At 38.8% G+C, this 21,461-nt stretch overlaps 1 protein-coding gene across 4 annotated transcripts in view; it reads right to left on the bottom strand.

Moving 5' to 3' along the window:
• Positions 1 to 21,461, bottom strand: part of NYAP2 (neuronal tyrosine-phosphorylated phosphoinositide-3-kinase adaptor 2) — a 305,716-nt gene that overhangs the window by 65,917 nt on the left and 218,338 nt on the right. For all 4 annotated transcript variants that reach the window (XM_047445201.1, NM_001371273.1, XM_047445200.1 and 1 more), the window contains one exon: positions 10,612 to 10,821. In XM_047445201.1, coding sequence (XP_047301157.1) covers positions 10,612 to 10,821 — 210 coding nt within the window. The remainder of the gene's footprint in view (positions 1 to 10,611; positions 10,822 to 21,461) is intronic.

Below are 21,461 nucleotides of genomic sequence, written 5' to 3'. Positions count from 1 at the left end.
GATAAACATGCATTCTAGCCAGCAGAAGTCACAGTTTTCCACAGAGAAATAAAAGTGGGAGTCTTGGGGCTACAGCTTACAGTACCCTCCAAGGCCCCTCCAAATGAGAATTCTGTTATGCATTTGCTCCTCAAATTTAGAAAGGGAGAGTTAAACTGCAGAGTGAGAAAACGGTGAACAGAACCAGGCAGCAGAACCTGGCAAATGTTCCCCGGGGAAGCCACCAAGCACCCAATTAGAACTGGAAAGGAGAGCAGATGTGGAGAATTGTCTTCTGATGCATGATCTGACTGCACAGAATGGCAGCCTTGAGGGTCGTAACTCTGGAAGTTCACAGCTGCCCGGTGCTGAAGTGGAGCCAAGCAGGAAGTTAGAGAACAGCCTACAGTGAAGTCTAAATTACAATGAACACCCGAACTCCAACAGATTGGTTTGCTGTTCCTGTTGCGTAACAAAAATGAATATAACGGAGAACTCATACTCCTTATCAATACTCAGTCCCTAAACTATGAAAACATGATGGTTTAACACAAATACTTCCTAAAGTGAGATGATGAAGGAAAAGGCAGGCGAGTAGAGTTTCATTTTTTACTTTAACTTTTTGTCAATGAGCATACTCTACTTACCTGTTATTATACTACTATACTATTACCTAATAATAAAGCAATAAAGCATTTTCACTTGGAAAAAAAATAGCAAAACACAAACAGATCATGGTATCTGTGTCACGCCACACCCAAACTCAGTGTCTTAAAATGACACTCATTTAGTCTTGCTCATGAGTCTATGGGTCTTCTGGGTGATTTTTCTGGTCTCAGCCTGGCTCACTCATGCATCTTTAGTCAAATGTGGGTCAAGTAGATGGTTCTGCTATTCCATGCTGTGCTTTCTCACATTTTGGGGGGTTCTCCTCTATTGTACTTCATCATCCAACAGGCTAGCCCAGGCATGTTCACATGGTGGTGGCAGGGTTGGAAAAGAGCCATGAAAGCATTCATACCTCATGAGGCCAAGGATCAGAATTGACATACAGTCACTTCCATCTCACTCTATTGGTCAATGCAAGACTCAAGGGTAGTCCAGATTCAAGGGATGGGAAATTGACTTTACTTCTTGATAAAGAGCTATGAAAGCACATTACCATACGTGTGCATGTGTCTTTATAGCAGCATGATTTGTAATCCTTTGGGTATATACCCAGTAATGTACCCTAAAACTTAAAGTATAATAATAATGAAATTAAAAAAAAAAAAAGAAAGCACATTACCAAGGGCATGATTACAGGGAGAGGGGAATAATTAGGACCATTAGGAGAAACCTTGGCATCCTGAAGGAGATGGGCCACATGAAGAAATGAAAGAAAGAAAAGAAGACACAGCTTAGAAATTATGTAGATATATTAAAAAGTTGAATATTAACCAGGTTCTAAAAGCAAAGTTTTTATCCACACTCCTGAGTGAGCTGCAGGAAACACTCTATCCTCTCTTATTTGCCTGGCTCCTACTCATCATGCTAGTACCAAATTTAGTGTCACATTCTCCAGGAAGCTTGTTTGAATGGCCTTCCCTTTAGCCAGCTGTGCTTGGCTTACTTATAACATTCTTTGGAATAATTGGTTGTTTTATTTTCTGCTTTACCTGCTAGAATATGAGTCTAGGGTACATTATATATATTCCTGTCCTCCCCACCCTCTGCACAACACAAAGTATACGTTGAAGAAATTTTAGTTAGAAAATAAACACAAAGGGAATAAATGACTAAAGGAATAGATAAATGAATCTCAAGCTGGATATTTATTAGAGAAGATGTACACATTTGCAGACATCAATATTTTCTTGTGATTCCCACATCCTTGACAACCTGGTTTTAAATCCTATTCATTGCTTCTAAGCAGAACAGAAGCATTGTGAGAGATTAGGATTACTTATTTGATAACTGTGTACGATGTAGCAACCAAGTCTTAAGACCTGCCCCTCATTCTTCCTCCAAATTCCATCTATAAATGCAGACTCAAGGCAACCCAAAAAGGGTCATCACACTGGCCACAAATCTTTGTTGAAAAATGCACAAGTCAATGAAGCATACATTGTCGCACTAATAGTAGTCTCATAACCACTTATATTATGTTCTGCCAAAGAAATATCTTATCATATTTGCAATGTGCTGATCTTTCAAAAGAAAACATCTAGTCTTGGTCCTAGAAAAAGACAGGTATTTTTCCAGTAAAATTGAATGGGAACGGAATAAACGTTTGTCTACTAGCTGTTATAAACCGGCTTTGTACCAAGCATTCCATGCATTTTTTAATTTAATCTTCATCATAACCTACACAGTGAGATTTATTTGATCTCTCCTGTAAAGATAGAGAAAGTGGGTCACAGCAGTGTTTTGTTATTTCATCAAACAATTGACACCAAAATATTAATTTATTAATATTGTTGCCAAGCATGATTTACTTACACACTAAAAAAAGAAAACTATGTCGATTTATTACGGTCTTCCAAAAAGGACCGTCATGAGTACTGTTCTGCAGCTCGCAGTCCTGCTGCCCAATTCTGCATGGTTTGCCTGTTTGTCACCTCTCCAAACTTGTGTGCATGGGAGTCTTCTTGGATATGGAGGCTGAAGCATAAATGGCTTTGAGTTATTGCTGTCAGGAAGTTTATCAGCAAAGTTAGCCAGTCATTTCAGTGTTATCAAGTAAAGTACGGGAAATATGTTTTAGAAGTTTCAAGAGAAAATCATCTTTCTTATAAATCAACTGATAAAAATTCAGTACTCAAAGACTGTGCTTTTGAGTTCAATTGCAGTTCCATTCCTGAATCCCAGCTCTGTTGCTTATTGTAAATGGCCCCCATTTTGCCACATCTTCCCAGGTCTCCACTTTTGAGCCTTTGAATAACCTCTCAAGGTCTTTGTGATCTCTTCAATCTTTAATGTAGTGACCAGAAGATGAATTATGGCTGCAAATGTCTTATGAACCATGGTTTGGGTGTGTAAAGTGTCATGTTGGAGCCAGAGTGCCCACTGTCTTTGACAAAATAGAATGAGGATTTAAATCCAGATTTGCAGGTTGCCTGACCATTTGGTGCTCAACCACTGCATTATACCTTATGCATGCATTTATAATTAGTATAGAATTTACAAGCACAGTGTGTAAGAAATGGCTTTTTTTTTGTTTTCTTTAAATGAAATTAAATCCACATCTGTTTTTCACTTTTCTGAACTTGTGTGTACAAGACTCCTCTTGGATATGAAGGACTGAATCATAAATGATGATGGAAAATGCTTCCCTACAATGGGTCATGAAGTCCCAGAACCGTTCTGCAGAGCAGAATATATAATATGGTCCTCCTAGTCTTTAGCTCATACTGGTTGTCACGTGAGGGGTCTACTGTTCGAGCACAAAGAGCCCCTTGAAGTACAGAATTCCATATTTTGAAGGTTAAAACCATATGGCGCATAAAGCCCAGCCTATGCAAACTCTACCCCACCCAACTTCTCTGCCAGTTAGAGGTCGTGCCATTTTGCAAGGGTGCTATGAAGGATTAGGCTGCTGGCCCTCACTATTCATGGAATTCTAAACCTCTATTTCTCTTTTAGTGCTAAGGAATTCCCCCTTCCTTCCCTGGCCATCAAAGGCTGCATGTCTCTCTCTTACCAGTGTTGCTATTGCTAGCATTTCCTTGTCCAGGAACAGCAGCTTCTGGAAAATAAAAGCCAGGAGGACAAGGTATCTACTGGGACCTACTGCTTCCAGTAGAAAGCAGCTTCTCTGTGCCACAGGGTCAAATCCATGCTTCCACCTAATGGTCATCGCTTGATTTTACAAACCAGAAAATGCAAGTGTGTGGTCTTCGGGTCTTACCCAGCTAAAAGAAGTGAATTATTCTACTCAATTGTTTTCTAAAAATTGAATTACATTTAAAAGTTGGGAGATTTCACATAATAGCAGTTAAATCTGGGAACCCTGGGTGAGCATTTCTCATGGCAGCATCAGCTGGCACTGAGTAGCTTTTGTCCACTTGGGGTGCCCCTATGCTTTCCAGGTCACCTGCATTTCCATCATTGAGTCCTGAGGTGCATCAGCTTGCAATAGATTTTCCTTGTAATGGAGAAATATTTCTCCTTAGCAATGCTTCTAACAAATGTGGGAATATAGAACTTAGAACAAAAGGGCTTCAAGTTTCAAGAAAAGTGGGAAAAACATTTTCCTTTGTGGGAGTAAAGTACATTTGTAAGTGTTTCATGTATAAGCAAAATACATGAAGGAAGGCATCTTTCCTGCTTCACTTGCTAATGATACCTGTCTGTCCTGAAGGCATCTCAATTAGCATCTCATCTTAGACCTTTTCAGAACAGCAGAAGCACAGAAAGTTGAACACGCAGAAACCAAGGGTTTTATAATATAGCTGATCCTTCCCTTTATAGTGTTTTCATTCTTTTTAGATTTAAATGTTACACTATAAACCCTGTTTGCCTATATATGTCTGTGTGCATGTGTGGGTATGATACCACTTTGTTCATAAGCCAAGGGCTGAGTTTACTTCCAAAAACACTTCTGTCAGGGTGGCCCAGCAGGGCCAAGCCAGGGCAGGTGTGTCTCTTCACCTTTTTCATCCCATGTGGAATATTCTCTTTCCACTCAATTGATAATCATAATGATTTTTAAGAAGATCTAGAATAATCCTGATGTGAGACTCCATGTCTTCCATTAATCTCTCCATCATTTTTCAAGCCTACACTAATTAATTGTTCTCTGAATGATTTTAAACGTATAGTAAGCAGTAGATAATAATGAAAATAATACATTTAATTATAACCTAATTAATTTGTGTTCAATAGTTCTGTGTCATAAAGAAACATAGTAAAATTTTTGAGGGTCACAGATTGTATTTTACAGTCTGTGGGGGGTAGGTGTGTGTGTCCCCAGAAACCATAACAGAGTTGGATACAAGCTGTGTGGAAACTATTTGTTAATGGGTTCAGTGGTTGAAATCTGAGTTTTTGTCAATACCATATTTACTTGTATAATCTCCTCACGCTTTCCTATTATGTTCATGAGCATTTGGGTCCCAGTTCTCCACTGCCTTCAAGAATCACCCTGTGGGGAATCTGTGATTTACTAAACAACAGTGACTTTAACGAAGTACCCCAGCAACCAGTGTTAATGTTAATTAGAATTGAGATCTCCTGACACATTTGCTTTACTTCAGCAATTCCTTCATTCCTCAAAAGAGCTGTTAAGAACAACCATTTCAAGTGGCTAAACTACTTTTGGTAAAGCAATAGCCTGTGACTGGTAGAAGTTTGTATGTATATCAGTGTGGAGGGGGGACAGAGAGAAATAGACGCAGAAGCAGAAAGTTGACAGAGGAAGGAGGGGTTTATAAGTAGAATCTTCTTTCCTCTCTAGTGTGAGGTAGGAAGTTGAGTACCCAGGGGCAAGGAGGCAACAATGATGAGGAAGTATAAAGAGAAGGAGGAGAAACAGTTAATACTGACTCATTGTCTTCTGTTCCAAAACAGAAAGTCTAAAACTCCCTCTTGATGTACCTACTTGCTTATTTTGGACAGAGACCATCTCATTGATGAATATTCAAGTAGTGCATGGTTTGCTTAAAACACCAAAGGTGGCCGGGCAATCCCAGCACTTCAGGAGGCCGCTTAGGCAGGTGGATCACCTGAGGTCAGGAGTTTGAGACTAGCCTGATCAATGCGATGAAACCCCGTCTCTACTAAAAATGCCAAAATTAGCCAGGCATGGTGGTGGGCACCTGTAATCCTAGCTACTCGGGAGGCTGAGGGAGGAGAATCTCTTGAACCCAGGAGGCGGAGGTTTCAGTGAGCTGAGATCATGCCATTGTACTCCAGCCTGGGTGACAGGGTGAGACTCCATCTCAAAAACAGAACAAAACAAAACAAAACAAAGCAAAACACTACCAAAGGTGAGTGTGAACTTCAGATACTCTATACATTTTTGCCATTTTTGGCATTTTCTAGTTCAGAACTGGCACCATTTAGGTTCTTTCTCTTCAGAAAAATAAAAGCTAACAACACAACATTTTTCCCTTTCTCCTTTTCTTTCCTGAAAAGTAGTAGAAGGGTAGACTAGAGGTTCAAGTAATGGTAACATTAATTTGAGTTTCGCTTTCACATAAGCAACTGGCTTGCACTGACATTATATATGTAACTCTACACTTGCCCCTCTGTTTTGCATTTCTTCTAATATGAATACAACCATCTCATTATTTAAAACTTAACAGAATTTATGTCTTCTTCCATCTTTGCCTACCTCCTTCATAATCTAAGATAAAGAATACATACTAAAAATATGTATGTCATTTCTTCTGGTCAGTAGACAATTTCCTGCTCTACAAACAACACTAAAAACCTCAGGAGGGCAGATTTTACATGCTGTAAACCAAAAGAGATGCTTTGGGGTTTTGATATGGAAGAAAGTGAAAGTATGGTATAAATTCTGTTTACACTCTGAATTTATTAGAATATTCATATCAAAGTGTAAAGACACTGTACGGTACATGTTTATCAAACTATATGTAACTTACTAAGTGTTCAAAAAAGTTTAATTATGGACTATCTAACTGTTTCATTTCTATGTATTTACCCACACTTTGAAATGTGTGGATTTCCCCAGGGTGTCATCTGAATTTCCTGCTCTCCTAGTTTAGACTCATCCAGTCTTACTGTTCTAACCACGCCAAAGGAGTCTAGTCTCAGTTTTGAATCCACTAAATCTCTTTAGCTACAGATCTATAATCTGAACAATCTACTGGTTTCTCAATTTGATGTCCCAGAGCATTTCTAACTTAACATAAGCAAACTGTAAGTCCTGACTTTCCCTCGTAAATCTTGCTCCGCATCTCACATTGACAGTCTCTATCTCAGTAAATGACTTCCCAGTCACCCAAGTTTAAAGCCACAGAGTCATCATTGGGTGTTCCATGATGTAAACTGAATTACATTATCCCTATCCTTAAAAAATAGTAAATAACTACAAAAATATCCAAATATCCACCACATAAACTTAAAAACCTAATTACATGGCAGACACCATCTACTGCTTATGCAACATCATTCCCCTTTTATCCCTGCTAATAGGCTTTTGATTTCATTTCCAGATGGAAGGCAAAGGACCCTTGCTTTAGGGGAAAAAGGGTTCTCTACAAGCCCATGGAAATCCCATTTTCCTTCACTCAGAGATTGGACCAGACAAGATGTTTGCCAGTTCTGACCAATTAGATGAAATGGAGAATCTTTGAGGTATGATGCCCAGAACTGTGTAGTCCATCAGCTTTGTCATCATGAAAACAATCATCAAGGGTAGCAGAACAGAAGAACTGAAGGATACAAAGTTCCTGGGTCCTTGACGTCCCTGAACAGCTGCAAAACACCTGGAACTGCCTACCTCGGAGCTTGATGCTAAGGGTGCAAACAAGGGCTATTATTTGCTAAGCCTCTGGTAATTTATACTTCATAGCTAAAAGGCTTTCTAATTAATAACAAGGCCCTTCAGGACTTTTGCTATCTTGTCACCACCTACCTTTGCAGTTTCTTCAATCTTCCCTCATCCTTTATACCAAACACTTTGTTCCATCCCATAGACTTTTAGGATTTTATCCAGAAGGCTGACTTTTTTCTTCATCTTCCTGGTGAGAAACTCATTGTTTCAAGTTCTAGCTCACATATTCTTCAAGCAAATATTATTTATCTACCAAAAGTTCCCGATTATTACTGTTAAAATCACTCTGCCCCAGGAAGAACTAACTGATTTCTCTTCAGCTGTGATTTGGATATGGCTTGTTCTCACGAAAACTCATGTTGAAATCTCATCCCCAATGCAGCAGTGTTGGGAGGTGGGGCCTAGTGGGAGGGGTCTGGGTCATGTGGGTGAGTCTTCATGAATGGCTTGCTGCTGTTCTTGAGGTAGTAAGTGCTCACTTTGGTGAGACTAGACTGGTTCTTGAGAGAGTGGGTTCTCATAAAGCCAGATGCCCGTTGAGTTTTGCCTCTTCATACATATCTACTTCCCCTTTGAACTTCCACCATGTTTTGACCCAGCACAGAAGCCCCAACCTCATGGTGAGCAGAAGCCAGCTCCATGCTTCTTGAACTTCTCAGCCTGCAGAACCGTAAGCCAAATACACCTCTTTTCTTAATAAATTACCCAGCCTTGTGTACCCAGAAACACAGAATGGATTAAGACATCTTCTGTTTCCCATAGTATTCATATTTTTATGTAACACACGTGATTTTATGTGTCAACTTGACTGGGTTAAGGAATGCCCAGATAGCTAGTAAAACATTTTTTCTGGGTGTATATGTGAGGGTATTTCTGGAAGAGATTAGTATCTGAATCACTAGTCTAAGTAAAGAAAATCACCCTCACCTAGGTGGGTGGGCATCATCCAATTTGCTGAGGATTTGAATAGAATGGAACAGAGAATAAAGGGCAAATTTACTCTTTCTTCTTGAGCTGGGACATCTGTCTTCTCTTGCACTTGGACATCTGCATTCTAGCTTTTGGGATTTTTGACTCAGATTGGGACTTAACACCATTGACTCCCCTAGTTCTCAGGCCTTTGAGCTTGGACTAGAACTCTGCTATTTTCTTTCCTGGGCCTACAGCTTGCAGAAAGCAGATAATGAGAGTTTTCTGCCTGCATGATTATGCGAACTAATCCCTCATAATAAATCTCTTTATATATTTATATCTATATATCCTATTGGTTCTGTTTCTCTAGAGAATCCTGACTGAAACACACAGTATACTGCAGTTGTCTATTTGTCTGTCTTGCTCTAGACTTTGAGCACTTAAATGTAAGGATATCTTTTTTGTCATTGTATTCTCAGATCATAGAACTGTGGCTATAACATAATAGAAACCCAGAGAATGCTTCTGATTTTTATAAAATATATATCTAGCCACAATAGAAGTATATATTGTTCACGTATTTTCAATAGAATTGGTACAAATTTTGATAATTCTTTAAAACTACTGATAAGCCCCAAACTAATCATAAGACTCAATTAAATAGTGATGTCAAAGTTTTTTGGGGAAGTGACTTTTTTCCCCATAAAAACACTATTTGTGAGCCAGGCACAGTGGCTCAAGCCTGTAATCCTAGCACTTTGGAAGGCTGAGGTGAGTGTATCACCTGAGGTCAGGAGTTTGAGACCAGCCTGACCAACATAGTGAAACCCCGTCTCTATTAAAAATACAAAAACTTAGCTGGGCGTGGTGGTGGGCACCTGTAAGCCCAGCTACTAGGGAGGCTGAGGCAGGAGAATCACTTGAACCCAGGAGTCGGAGGTTGCAGTGAGCCAAGATCGCACCATTGCACTCCAGCCTGGGCAACAAGAGTGAAACTCCATCTCAAAAAAAAAAAAAAAAAAAAAAACTATGTGTTCTCTATGTTTCTTTTTCTTTGTGACAAAATGCACACCTATAGCAATTTATACTTTACTATCAAAAATATACTTTGAAATTTTTATTAAATTTATATAGTATTCCTTTGGCCAAATTTTAACTCATGCTTTAGAGTTGGTTATCCACATATGTGCTATGGCTCTACCACCAAAGCTTCAAGTTACATGTTAAGTCTGGGGAAGCTAGTACTTTGCTCCTGTCTGGGTATTGTTCCAGGAATATCCTCAGCAATTGCAGAGACCATTCATCCTATTCCAATTTTAACTTGTGCACGACTGTCTGAGAGACCACAAGCTAAATTCATGTAAATTGCTTTCTAAGATGAGTATCAGAGCTGAAAAGAATATTAAAGGATTAGTCTTTTCTTTGGAGCTCTAACACTCTTAAGAAATAGAAACCTGAAACTACAGGAGGTTCCTTGATTATTTGTTGTTTATTTCAATTGACAGCTCTCTGTGAGTCCAACACATAAATTAATAAATTCAAAGCAAACATATGCTGTTTTTTAAAAAGTTGATGTTTAATAATACCTACCTATTAACCATGTAAAATTGCATTGCAGATTTTAATTTTAACTTGTGACATTTAAAGGTACATTCTATTAAAACTTTTACATTTTCCTTTGACTTAGATTTGGGAATTTAGTGCCATTCCCAATGCCCAGTTATCACCTTCAGCTCAAGATTTCAGATGCCTCCTAATATCTACTTTCTTTACTGCTTTCAGATTATCTTTGTTACATTTCTGTTCTCAATGTTACTTTTGTTCATTTTTTATCAGTTGCCCAAAATATTTTTTGAAGCAAATGAAGCATAAATTCTAAATTACTCAAACTTCGCAAGTTAAAACTGCTTTAGATGAGGCCTCTAGATATTTTTGAAGAAATTTAGTATAAAACTTTTTAAGTTTTCAAGGCTGCTATCTTGCATAGCTCCAAGAAGCACCGTTCAGGTATCTTTCATCTCTGTAAATAGTTGTACCTTTGAGCAGTACAATATATTGTTATATCCCTTTATGTAACCTACGTGAATGGTTACTTGTGGTGCCTCTCTGTGTGCAGACAGAGATATCTGTGGTGATAATTCTGTAAGTGATATTGCATGAAAGTAGTCTCTAGAGACAGGAGGAATTACCTTCTGGAAGATCATAATCTGCCTTACCTGAACTGTGGTTTCCCGCTAACAAGGTGGGGCTCACAGAGCATCTTCCTAGTCGACTGGTGACCACAGGTGTCCCTGGTGTTCCATCCCATTCCTGAGCTTTGACAGGCTCTCTGGAGGAAGACGCCCCATGGTGGCCTCTTTCCTTGTTGTCCAACTTTGGTAATGGCTCCGTGCTGTGGCTTCGGACTTTCAGTTCCTCTGTTGATTCTGTGTAGTAACCAGAATTACATTCTGTTAAACAAGAGTAAAGTTCTTCCTAAATTACTTTCAAAAAATTAGTGTGATTTTCTAAAATTGTCTCAATATGTTGTTGGAAACTCAGACTTGGAGACTACAACATTTAAATATAACAGAAACATAGACTCCAGGGGGCCTTTTTTCTGAGTTGTGTAGGCTAGTATCTCTGGGAAATACAATTTTCTTTTTGGAAAAAGAGTACCTCGACGAATCTTTAGTAACTCTTCCCTTGGGCTCATCTCTGAGTACACTTATTTAAGAACACTTCACACTCACTCTCTTTACTTTCTAATCTTTACAAAAATTCAGCCAAACCACGCTATCCAATCTGCTCCTGATAACATCACCTAGTGCCTTTTATTTGGCAAATGTATAAGGCTTTTTTATCAGCCATTTGACAATTATTTGATTACTCACTCATTTATATTTTCAATTCTCTTGGCTTTGCTGATGGTCCATCCTCCTGTGTCCTGTTCTGTATCTAACACCTTTCCTTTGTCATTTATATCATCTCATCCTCCATGCATCCCTGGCACACTGGTTGTTCCCGAGGTGCTAGCTTAGCCACTGTGCTGCTTCTGCTACACATATTCTTTCTGATTTTTGTCCTCAAGGATTCAGTTAGCAATCATCTAATTGTTAGTGATTTCTAAATATTTTATCAGATGCCTGGACCATTCTTTTTATCTTTACATTCATTTATCCAACTGCCTGCTAGGTGAATCCATCTGGAGTCCCCATATGAACATTTCAGATACTGAACTGATAATTTCTTATTAAACTACTGGTTCTTTCTGTCCAACCAACTATCCAAGCTAGAAACTTTTCTCTCTCTTTCTTTAAGTGATAATGCCCAAATCTATCAGTCAGAAGATTGTACAGATTTTATTTCTGGATGTCTTGCTCTTGCTTCTCTTCCACTTTGTTTCATGTCTACCTCAATGGCTCTGGTTCAGCTCTAATCCTCTCACTTGAATTACTGCAACCCGTCTCTGACTCTATCCTTGACTCCTCAAAGTATAAGCTCCTTATACTGCCAAAATGATCTATTGAAAATGCAAATCTGATCATAATGTAACCCTGAATAAAATCCTTCCAGAAGCCTCCTGTTGCCCATAGAATGTCTAAGCTCTTTAATATCATCGGCAAGAATCTCCACCTTCTTGCTCTTTCCTTCCCCTCTAGCTTTGTCTTTCCCTGTTAACCTACCTGTATTACATTGGTTGTAGGTTCTTCCTCCCTACTCCTCCCCCAATAAAAACAATGCTGTTTTCTACAGCTATTACCACCCCTCCTTTGAATGCCCTTATGTCTTGTGTTTCTTTGCTTAACTAACTCTACTCTCTCCTGGTAACTCAATTTAAGTATCCTCTGAAGCCCTCCCACCCATTCACCACTCTTGCAGGGTCATGGTCATCTCTGCACTGACCTTGCTTTATAGTTCTATGTATCTGCTCTTCCCGAAAGGCCTTGAGTTATTTTAAGGCAGGTATTGAGGTTTTGTTTGTTTTGCGTTTTTAAAAAATGGTTGACTCCACCACCTATCATATTGCTCCATGAATTTTTAATTTAATTAATTTATTTATATTGCAGATTTCTCAGTTCTTCACACATCATTCTAATCTATGTAGGAAATATAACATTCCTGATGGAACTGGAAAATCAAGTGATAGCAAGTATGTTAATGGAGCTAATAGTATTTTCAAAAATCTGATTATCTAATAATCACAAGTTGTAAAATTCACCAGGTTAACAGTTTAATTCAAATAAGGAATTTTTTTAGAAAATCACAGAAATGATTCAAAAAATCTGAATTTTTTTTTTTTTTTTTTTTTTTTTTTTTACGCTTGGGTTAAAATCCTTATCAACTTTCAGCAGTGTGATAACACAAATGTCACACTTTGGTTCACCATTATCTGAATCTGTGGGACACAGATAGAACAGGCTGTCATATATTGAGCAGTCCGGGTCAGGAATCTCAGAGGCCTCAGCTTTGCAACTGTGGCTGTGACCCATGTCACCTCTTGGGGAACCTCATTTTTCTTACGTACAAAACAAAGAAAATACCAGCCCTACCTAACTTCCTTGATTTTATTTTAAAAATCTGATAATATTCTACAGTTTAAAATATTTTGAAAACTAAAAAGTGCCAGACACATAAAAAGTAGTATTGAGTTAAATACAGTCATTTGGCCTTTATTAGTTTATTTAATTTTTCTACATTAGATAATTACTAAGAGTCTTATACAAATGGAAAATTGCCAAATCACATTCAGAAACAGAACTGTAGCCTATTATCTACAGTAACTAGCTTGGGAAGTCAACCTATGAGGTACCAGTCACACTTGTAGGGAGTAGACCCGTCTCTAGGAAATAATCCTAAAAGCTAAACAACCACCCATGTAAAAATTGGCCTCAAATAGTCAAGACTTGAGTAACAACTTAGCTTCCCCAATTTTTGCCCCAGTTTCCAACTTAGGAACAACTGAGGAAAAGTAAATATACACCTTTAACCAATCACATAGAATGCCCCGTTTCTAGTGTGCTTACCTGCCACTTCCCCAAGTTAATAGTCCCCAATCAAGGTACACTTGAAGCCTTTTCATTGTTGTTGATAAACGAAACACTTTAGACAAACTTAATTTAGCAGAGTTTATTTGAGAAAAAGAAATGATTTGTGAATTGGGCAGCACCCTGAACAAGTAAAGGCTCAGAGATCTCTGCCCAGCAACCTGGTCAGGCAGTATTTATAGAAAGAAAAAATAAATAACATATAGAATATACTTTTCTTTATATACTTTTCTCCAATAATACATGTTTACTTTAAAAATTGTTGCAGTAAAGAAAAACCTTTAACTGAGAAATATGGAAATAGCGTGTTAATTTTCCATTGGCTATGATGGAATTAATATTGTATTTTAAAAATGCATATTGATCACTGTAGTTCTAAAACAATTTTTTAAATAAACCAGCAGGTTGCTAAAAGAAGGCATTTTATCTAAAGTTATTTTAATACGTGGTATAGCAGTAATTTCAAATTTAAGAGTTGCTTTTACAGTTAACAATGGAATATGCCTTCTCTGCTATGTCTGGAAATAGAAGCTATTTATTATGAGCTTCTACAGGTATTTTTAAATAGAGCAAGCATGTTGAATTTAAAATATGAATAACCCCACCCAACAATTTTTAGTTTGTTTTTTGCTTTGGTCGAACTTGGTGTGTGTTCATCACCCATCAGTTATTTGTGAGGGTGTTTATTCTATATGAATATTGTTTCATGTTTGCATAGGAAAATTGTAGCTAAACATTTCATTGTCCCCAGTCTGAAAAAGAAGCACAATTCTATTGCTTTGTATTGCTTATAGTCATTAAATCGTTACTTTTACATAAAAAAAAAAGAAATATCCTGATTGATTACAGGCCAGCCTTCACCTTATTGATTACAGGCCAGTTTGCAGTCTGTGATTGGCTGAAAAGTTGGCTGCTATGATTGGCCAAGACTCAGCTACTAGTTACAATAATATACTTTTATGATAGGTTGTAGTTTATTTACATACTAAGTTAGGTTGCAATTCATTACATATGGAGGTAGCTTTAGGCCAAATTTAATTGAACATTTTTTCCCCCATAAAGCCTTCCTACTCCTCTGCCTGCCTCTGAGTCTTTGCCAAATGCAAGCTCTGAATAAATAGCCTTTGCCTGTCTCTTTTGTTTGATCTTCATTTATTTCCATATTGCTATAGTCTCTTCCAATACAGTCTCAGAAAGATTTCAGGTTTTTAAATGGGCCTGTGTATAAACTTGTTTTAGTTATAATGAAATCAAGTATATGAAGTCTACATATTTTTTTGGAATGAACATGTTTCGGAAATTTATTAATCATTAATGATGAAGCAAGATGGTAAAGCTGATCCAAAGAGCATTTGGAGGACCTAAGTATTTATAGACATTTTTAAAAGAATGTTAGAATAAAATTGCTAGGTTAGAAATAAAACTGGTTGTGGCTGGGCATGGTGGCTGAAGCCTGTAATCCCAGCACTTTGGGAGGCAAAGGCAGGTGGATCACCTCAGGTCAGAAGATCAAGAGCAGCCTGGCCTGGCCAACATGGTGAAACCCCATCTCTACTAAAAACACAAAAATTAGTCGGGCGTAGTGGCAGGTGTCTGTAATCCCAGCTACTTGGGAGGCTGAGGCATAAGAATCGCTTGAACCCGGGAGGTGGAGGTTGCAGTGATCCAAGATCGAGCCACTGCACTCCAGCCTGGGCAACAGGGCGAGACTTTGTCTAAAAAAAAAAAAGAAAGAAGAAAGAAAGAAAGAAAGAAAAAGAAAGAAAGAAAGAAAGAAAGAAAGAAAGAAAGAAAGAAGAAAGAAAGAAAGAAAAGAAATAAAATTGGTTAATGTCCTTAAGGCAATACAATTACAACCTTTAGAGTCATCTTTCTACCAAATAGAAATAATTTGCATCTCTAGCTGGGGGCAGGAAGAGGGCATTTGGATGGTAATCAGTGCTCTGCAGAAAAAACAAAGCAAGGAAAAATAATTGAAAGCAGGAGCCAGGTTCAATGCCTCACGCCTGTGATCCCAGCACTTTGGGAGGCCAAAACAGGAGGATCATTTGATCTCAGGAATTCCAAATCAGTCTGGGCAACATAGTGAGACACTGTCTCTACAAAGAAGATAAAATTAGCTGGGCATGGTGGTGCAAGCTTGTAGTCCCAGCTACTTGGGAAGCTGGAGTGGGAGGATTGTTTGAGCCTTGGGAGGTCGAGGCTGCAGTGAGCTGAGATTGTGCCACTGCAATCCAGGCTGGGCAACAGACTGAGACCTTGTCTCAAATAACAATAGTGATAATTGAAATCAGGAGCTCAAACAGGTATTTGTACATCCAAGTTTATAGTAGCATTATTCACAAAGGACAGAAGCAACCCAAGTGTCCATCGATGACTGGGTCAACACAACATGGTACAGGCATACAGTGGGGTATTATTCAGCCTTACAAAAAAAGGAACTCTGGCACATGCTAGCATAAGGGTTTATTGCTACTGGAAGGATGTTATCATAAGTAAAATAAGCCAGTCACAGCAAACCACCATGGCATGTGTATACCTATATAACAAATATGCCCATTCTGCACATGTATGCCAGAACTTAAAGTATAATTAAAAAAAAAATAAAAAAAAACTGTATTAAAATATACCACAATATAAAAGTACTATTTTAATCATTATTTTTATAAAAATATAGTTAAATACATATAACATAAAATTTCCCATCTTAGCTATTTTTAAGTGCATAGTTCACTAGTGTAAAGTACATTCATTTTGTTGTATAATCAATCTGCAGGGCTCTTTTTGTCTGGCAAAACTGAAGGTCTGTACCTACTTAATAACAGCTCCTCATTTCCTCCTCCCTTTGGCCCCCGACAACCCCTCCTCTACTTTCTGTCTCTAAGAATTTGACTACATTAGGTATGTCATGTAAGTGGAATCAAATAGTATTTGTCTTTTTATGAGAAGTCAAAATATTGTAAAGGCAATATATTCCCGCACAATAATTAAAGATAATTTAACCAACACTTGTTTTTCAGTGTCCTGAGACAAAAGGAATAAAACCAGTATCAGAAAATAACATTATAAACTATTCCCAAGCTGTTTATTCACAGCTTCAAAGAAAGTGTAACTCTAGCTTCCAAACGTCATAGCCTCAAAGCCTAACGACCCATCTACTTCAGCCCACCTTCTCTTCTAGATTTTTTTTTTTTTTTTTTTTTGAGACGGAGTCTCGCTGGTCGCCCAGGCTGGAGTGCAGTGGCACGATCTCAGCTCACCGCAAGCTCCGCCTCCCGGGTTCATGCCATTCTCCTGCCTCAGCCTCCCGAGTAGCTGGGACTACAGGCGCCCACCACCATGCCCGGCTAATTTTTGTATTTTCAGTAGAGATGGGGTTTCACCATGTTAGCCAGAATGGTCTCGATCTCCCGCCCTCGTGATCCACCCACCTTGGCCTCCCAAAGTGCTGGGATTACAGGTGTGAGCCACCGCGCCTGGCCCTCTTCCAGATTTTAAACCAGGGAGTGTCACTTAGGTCTCCAGCCTCAATTAAATAAAAGCCTACAGCTTTGGAAAGGAATTTTGTGTGTGTGTTTTTCTCTTCTTCTTTGTTTTCAAGTCCCAGAGGTTAGTCTTCAGTAAATTTTAGGCAGGTGTATTTAGAGAAACTTGAACAAAAGGATTAAAGAAATGGTACTACTCAGACCTGTGCCTGTATACCTTAATGTCTGCCTCCTAAATAGAAAGCAGAGCTGAAAAATCTGTAAGAAAATCATAAATGTATTATGGAGAATTTTATTTGGGAATAAATCTGTTTTTTCATGTGTGTGTGCGTGCGTGTGTGTGCGTGCGTGCGTGTGCGTGTGCATGCGCGTGTGTGCGTGCGTGTGCGTGCGTGTGTGCGTGCGTGTGCGTGCATGTGTGCGTGCGCGTGTGTGCGTGCGTGCGTGTGGGTGCCTGTGTGTGTGTATGTATTCAAGAACTGCTTCCTAACCAAGGTGTTTTCTAATTCAAACAAATATGAAAATCTTCAAAATAGCTGTTGAAAAGAGACAAATTGAAAGTGGACAATTAGACTCTTGTAATATATAATATGTAAATAAGATATATTGAAAACTCAAGGAAACGTATTCAGAGGAAAAGGACATATTTATCCATATCCATATATCTCAATGTCTTTTTAAAGTCTGTTGAAAACAAAATTGATTTTAGTAACATAAACTCTCTGGAACAAGATCAATCTTACATACTGTGGTAAAGCTTTATGTGGAATCTGAGTTATTTTAAGTGTTCACAGTTACAGCCCCAGCATGTAGCTCACGGTGCCAACTGCATAGAACGCACCTATCCTCTATTCAGTGAATGAATGAGCGAATGTTGACTATTGCTCTAAAATCTAATTCTCACATTGAAATCTGAACTTGAATTAAATTTATTACAAAAATGGATGTATTATTTTATTATATTTGTATTTCAGACTGGGTGTTTTGTATATCATTGTCTTAAATTTGTTACAGTGTTTAGGCTGAAGCAGGATACAGAAGAAAGATAACACCAGGAGCAATTCATTTTTGAGCAAACACTCTCTCCAGGATTCTAATCCATCACACCTCATGCAGCTAACCCTGAAGTTTCCCATTTCCTGCCTCTCTATGCTGTCTGTGGGTCTACTTCTGTCTCTCTGGCTTCTTCTCTGTCTCTCTCCCTCTCCATCTGTGTCCTGGATCCTGGGCCACCTAGGAAGACTTGGTTTCCTGGGTCTAATGGCTTTTACCGCTAGGTCTGACCCCATACATTAGTGGGTTTTACCAGAATCTCTTATTCACTCTTCCTCATCAACATTGATTCACTCAGTAACAAACGAGTACTGAAGATTCTTATAAATCCTCACCACCTGAAGATCTCTTTTAAGCTCTAGGAACAAAACAGTATAGCATGAATGAGCCTTTGCATATGACCGCCTGGGTGGGGGCACAAGCTCTTAAAACTGGCAGCACTATTCTCTCTCTGAACTTGCTCTTCTTCTAGCTAAAAAGTCATGGTCTTCAGAGCCAGACAAACTTCCACTTTGCATTTTGGCCATGCCATGTATTTGCTACTTAACCTTAGTCAAGGTTCCTGAACCCCAATTTCCATATTTGTAAACAAAGATAATAATTGCTATTATTGTGTCCCTGTGAAGATTAAATGAGATAATGCATTTAAAGTTCCTTACATAGCAATGCTAAGAATTATTTTTTCTCCTACTGTTCTTTTTAGTGACATAGATTACCCTTCTTACAGGTTCACCAGGAAGACACTTGGCAATCGTCTAATCTATGTCATCCCTAGCACAGAGAGTGCCCACAACTTAGCAGTCTTGGGATTAGGACAGGAAACAGAAGCATATAATACTTTTCCACACTTTTCCCTAACCAACATCATGGCTCTATTCTTGCCTTCACTTTTCTTCTTTGTGTTAAGGCAAAAGCCCCTACCTGCCTGTCTCCTGTCATGATCCATTTCCGTTTATTTTCCAGTGAAATTACTTCCTGATTCCCCAAGGCCCTTAGAACCAAGTTCCAATGCTTTGGGTTAAGACATCAGGCCCTTCGTAAACTAGTTTCTGGCAGCTCTCAACATTTCTTTTCCATTACCTATTTTAATTGTGGAGATGATGAGTTGTTTTCTCTATATTTGCTCTTTCTTCAGCCTGACACACCTCTCCTCCAAAGCAAAATGATGAACTGATTAGCCAGGTCTTCTTGTTTGGGAATACTTAAGTTGGGTGTTATCATTCAAGGAAGACTTCTCCTAATTCCTTTTCCTAGTTTGAGTTAAAGCTGTGAGTAAAGAGTTAATACCAGGCTTGGGCTGCCCTAAAGAAAGTGACCTCGGAGCCTGCCATATTGTAATACTTTCACCTTGGCAATTACAATAACACAGAGTGTAATGTTGCACCTGTCCTATTTATTGTAAGCCCTGATCTGTTGGCCTGCACCTGGACAGGTGGACTACTAGGTGACATGAGGACCTGGGACAATATGACAAAAATAATAAAATATTTGTGCGGAGCCAAGGCTGCAGCTTCTTTGGATCTTCTTTGGATCAAGGTGACATGTGGGTGCCTTGGTTTTAATTCCAGCAGTCATAAGCCCTTGGTACGGTAGCTGTGTATATGGTAGCTGCTGGGGGTACCTATGAGATATAGAGCCAAACTACATTTCTGCAACCTAAGCAAACAGGGTATTACATTAAAACGTTGTGTCATTGATGGGCCACCCTATGCCTTCCATGGCACATGTCTTGTGCTCTGATGTGACTTGTCACAGTTGTTGTTTATATATCTTGTTGCCCCCGTTGGATCACAAGCTTTAGACTAAAGACTACATCTTTCACATTGGTACTCAGTATCTAATAGAGTCCTCAGTGAGAATTGAAGGGATGGGATGAATAACTGCATGCCTGCTTCACCCAGGATAATAGCTTATTACTGTTTGCTTCTGGCTCTAATCCCATCCCTGGCTCATACCCACCTCTCCAATGTTTCCCTGCAGATGGGCCATGCATAGCAAGCATAAACCAATAGCCCTCAATAACTGGAGAACATGAGTTAGTTGCTGTTGTCAAAATTGTCTTTTCTTAAGCCATAAATGTTTCCACAATTACCACTTGTTATTAATAGGCCATAAAAAACAAGTAATTTGCCTGGAAAAATGAGTTTTATTTGGAAATATGAACAGTCACATCATTTACTTGGGAAAATTTAAGATTCTATTCTCCTATTTTTTTGCAATATTTAAAAGGATTCAACTGTCATTCATTTAATTGCTTCTATGAACATGTAGATGACTCAGATGATTTACATAAAAAGCTTTTGTATGTGTGGTTCATGACTGCTGTTTTTTTTTTATTTTTTTATTTTTTGATAGAGTTTCACTCTTATTGCCCAGGCTGGAGTGCAATGGTGCAATCTCGGCTCACCGCAACCTCCATCTCCCGGGTTCAAGCAATTCTCCTGCCTCAGCCTCCCTAGTAGCTAGGATTACAGGTGCCCACCTCCACACCCAGCTTTTTAATTTATTTTTTTAGTAGAGATGGGGTTTCACCATATTGACCAGGCTGGTCTCAAACTCCTGACCTCAAGAGATCTACCTGCCTTGGCCACCCAAAGTGCTGAGATTACAGGCATAAGCCACTGATGTGATTTTTGAAATGTCACAATCTCACATAGAGATCGCTTGGTTACAAAATATGGGCTCTGATTGTGCCTGAAAATAGAGAGACCAAAGGTCTGTTGCAGATGAGCAATTGAGCTTTCTGTGGACATAAAGAATGCTTCCAAGTTGTTGCTTCATATTGGCATAATCAACAGGATCAAAGACACTGCATGCTACTCCAACTGCTGAACAATGAGAATAAGGAGAAGTGATCAAGGCAGATTAATTAAGCAGAAAAGACAACACGTTTTAAGCACTAAAGGAGGCACTGAACTAAGTTGCATTATCAGATGGGTATTAGATTCAGTCATCAAATTTTAGGACTGAAACAGCCCTTGGAAATCACCACTTGGAACAGTTCACTCAAGGTAAGATGTGTGTTTGTAATTACTGAGATGGTTGTCCTGCCTCTCGGAGGATAACTCCAGGGAAGACCAGTTCCTACCTCATGGGAAACCTTGGCTCAATTCTGAAAATCTTTAATTTCTAGAAAGCTCTTACAGAGCTCACGTTGACTTTCTTTCCAGTACCACCATTGGTTAGTTGTTGGTACTCCTGATACGAATCTAGAACTCTCACTCTACCAGTCACCCTGACCTGTATTCTAATTGAATATCACAGAGTATTTTAAAACTGTGGTTTCTGGAGCTGATAAGAGCCAGCCAGACAGAGAAGTTTACCTACAAGCCCAGGCAAGTGCTGGGGGCTTCTCGTTGCACTGCTATTATTCCATCCTCCAAGTCTCTAGGGAAAAGAGGGCAAAGGCCCTGTGCCTCCACCATGAAAGAGTATGGAGGAGCGGGGGCATATTTTTATATTTCATTATTCCTTCTCTCTTGTATAAACTGTTATTTGGGG

This window comes from Homo sapiens, chromosome 2 (genome assembly GCF_000001405.40).
Source record: "Homo sapiens chromosome 2, GRCh38.p14 Primary Assembly".
Classification (NCBI taxonomy): Eukaryota; Metazoa; Chordata; class Mammalia; order Primates; family Hominidae; genus Homo; species Homo sapiens.
This window is presented reverse-complemented; position numbering and strand designations above follow the sequence as displayed.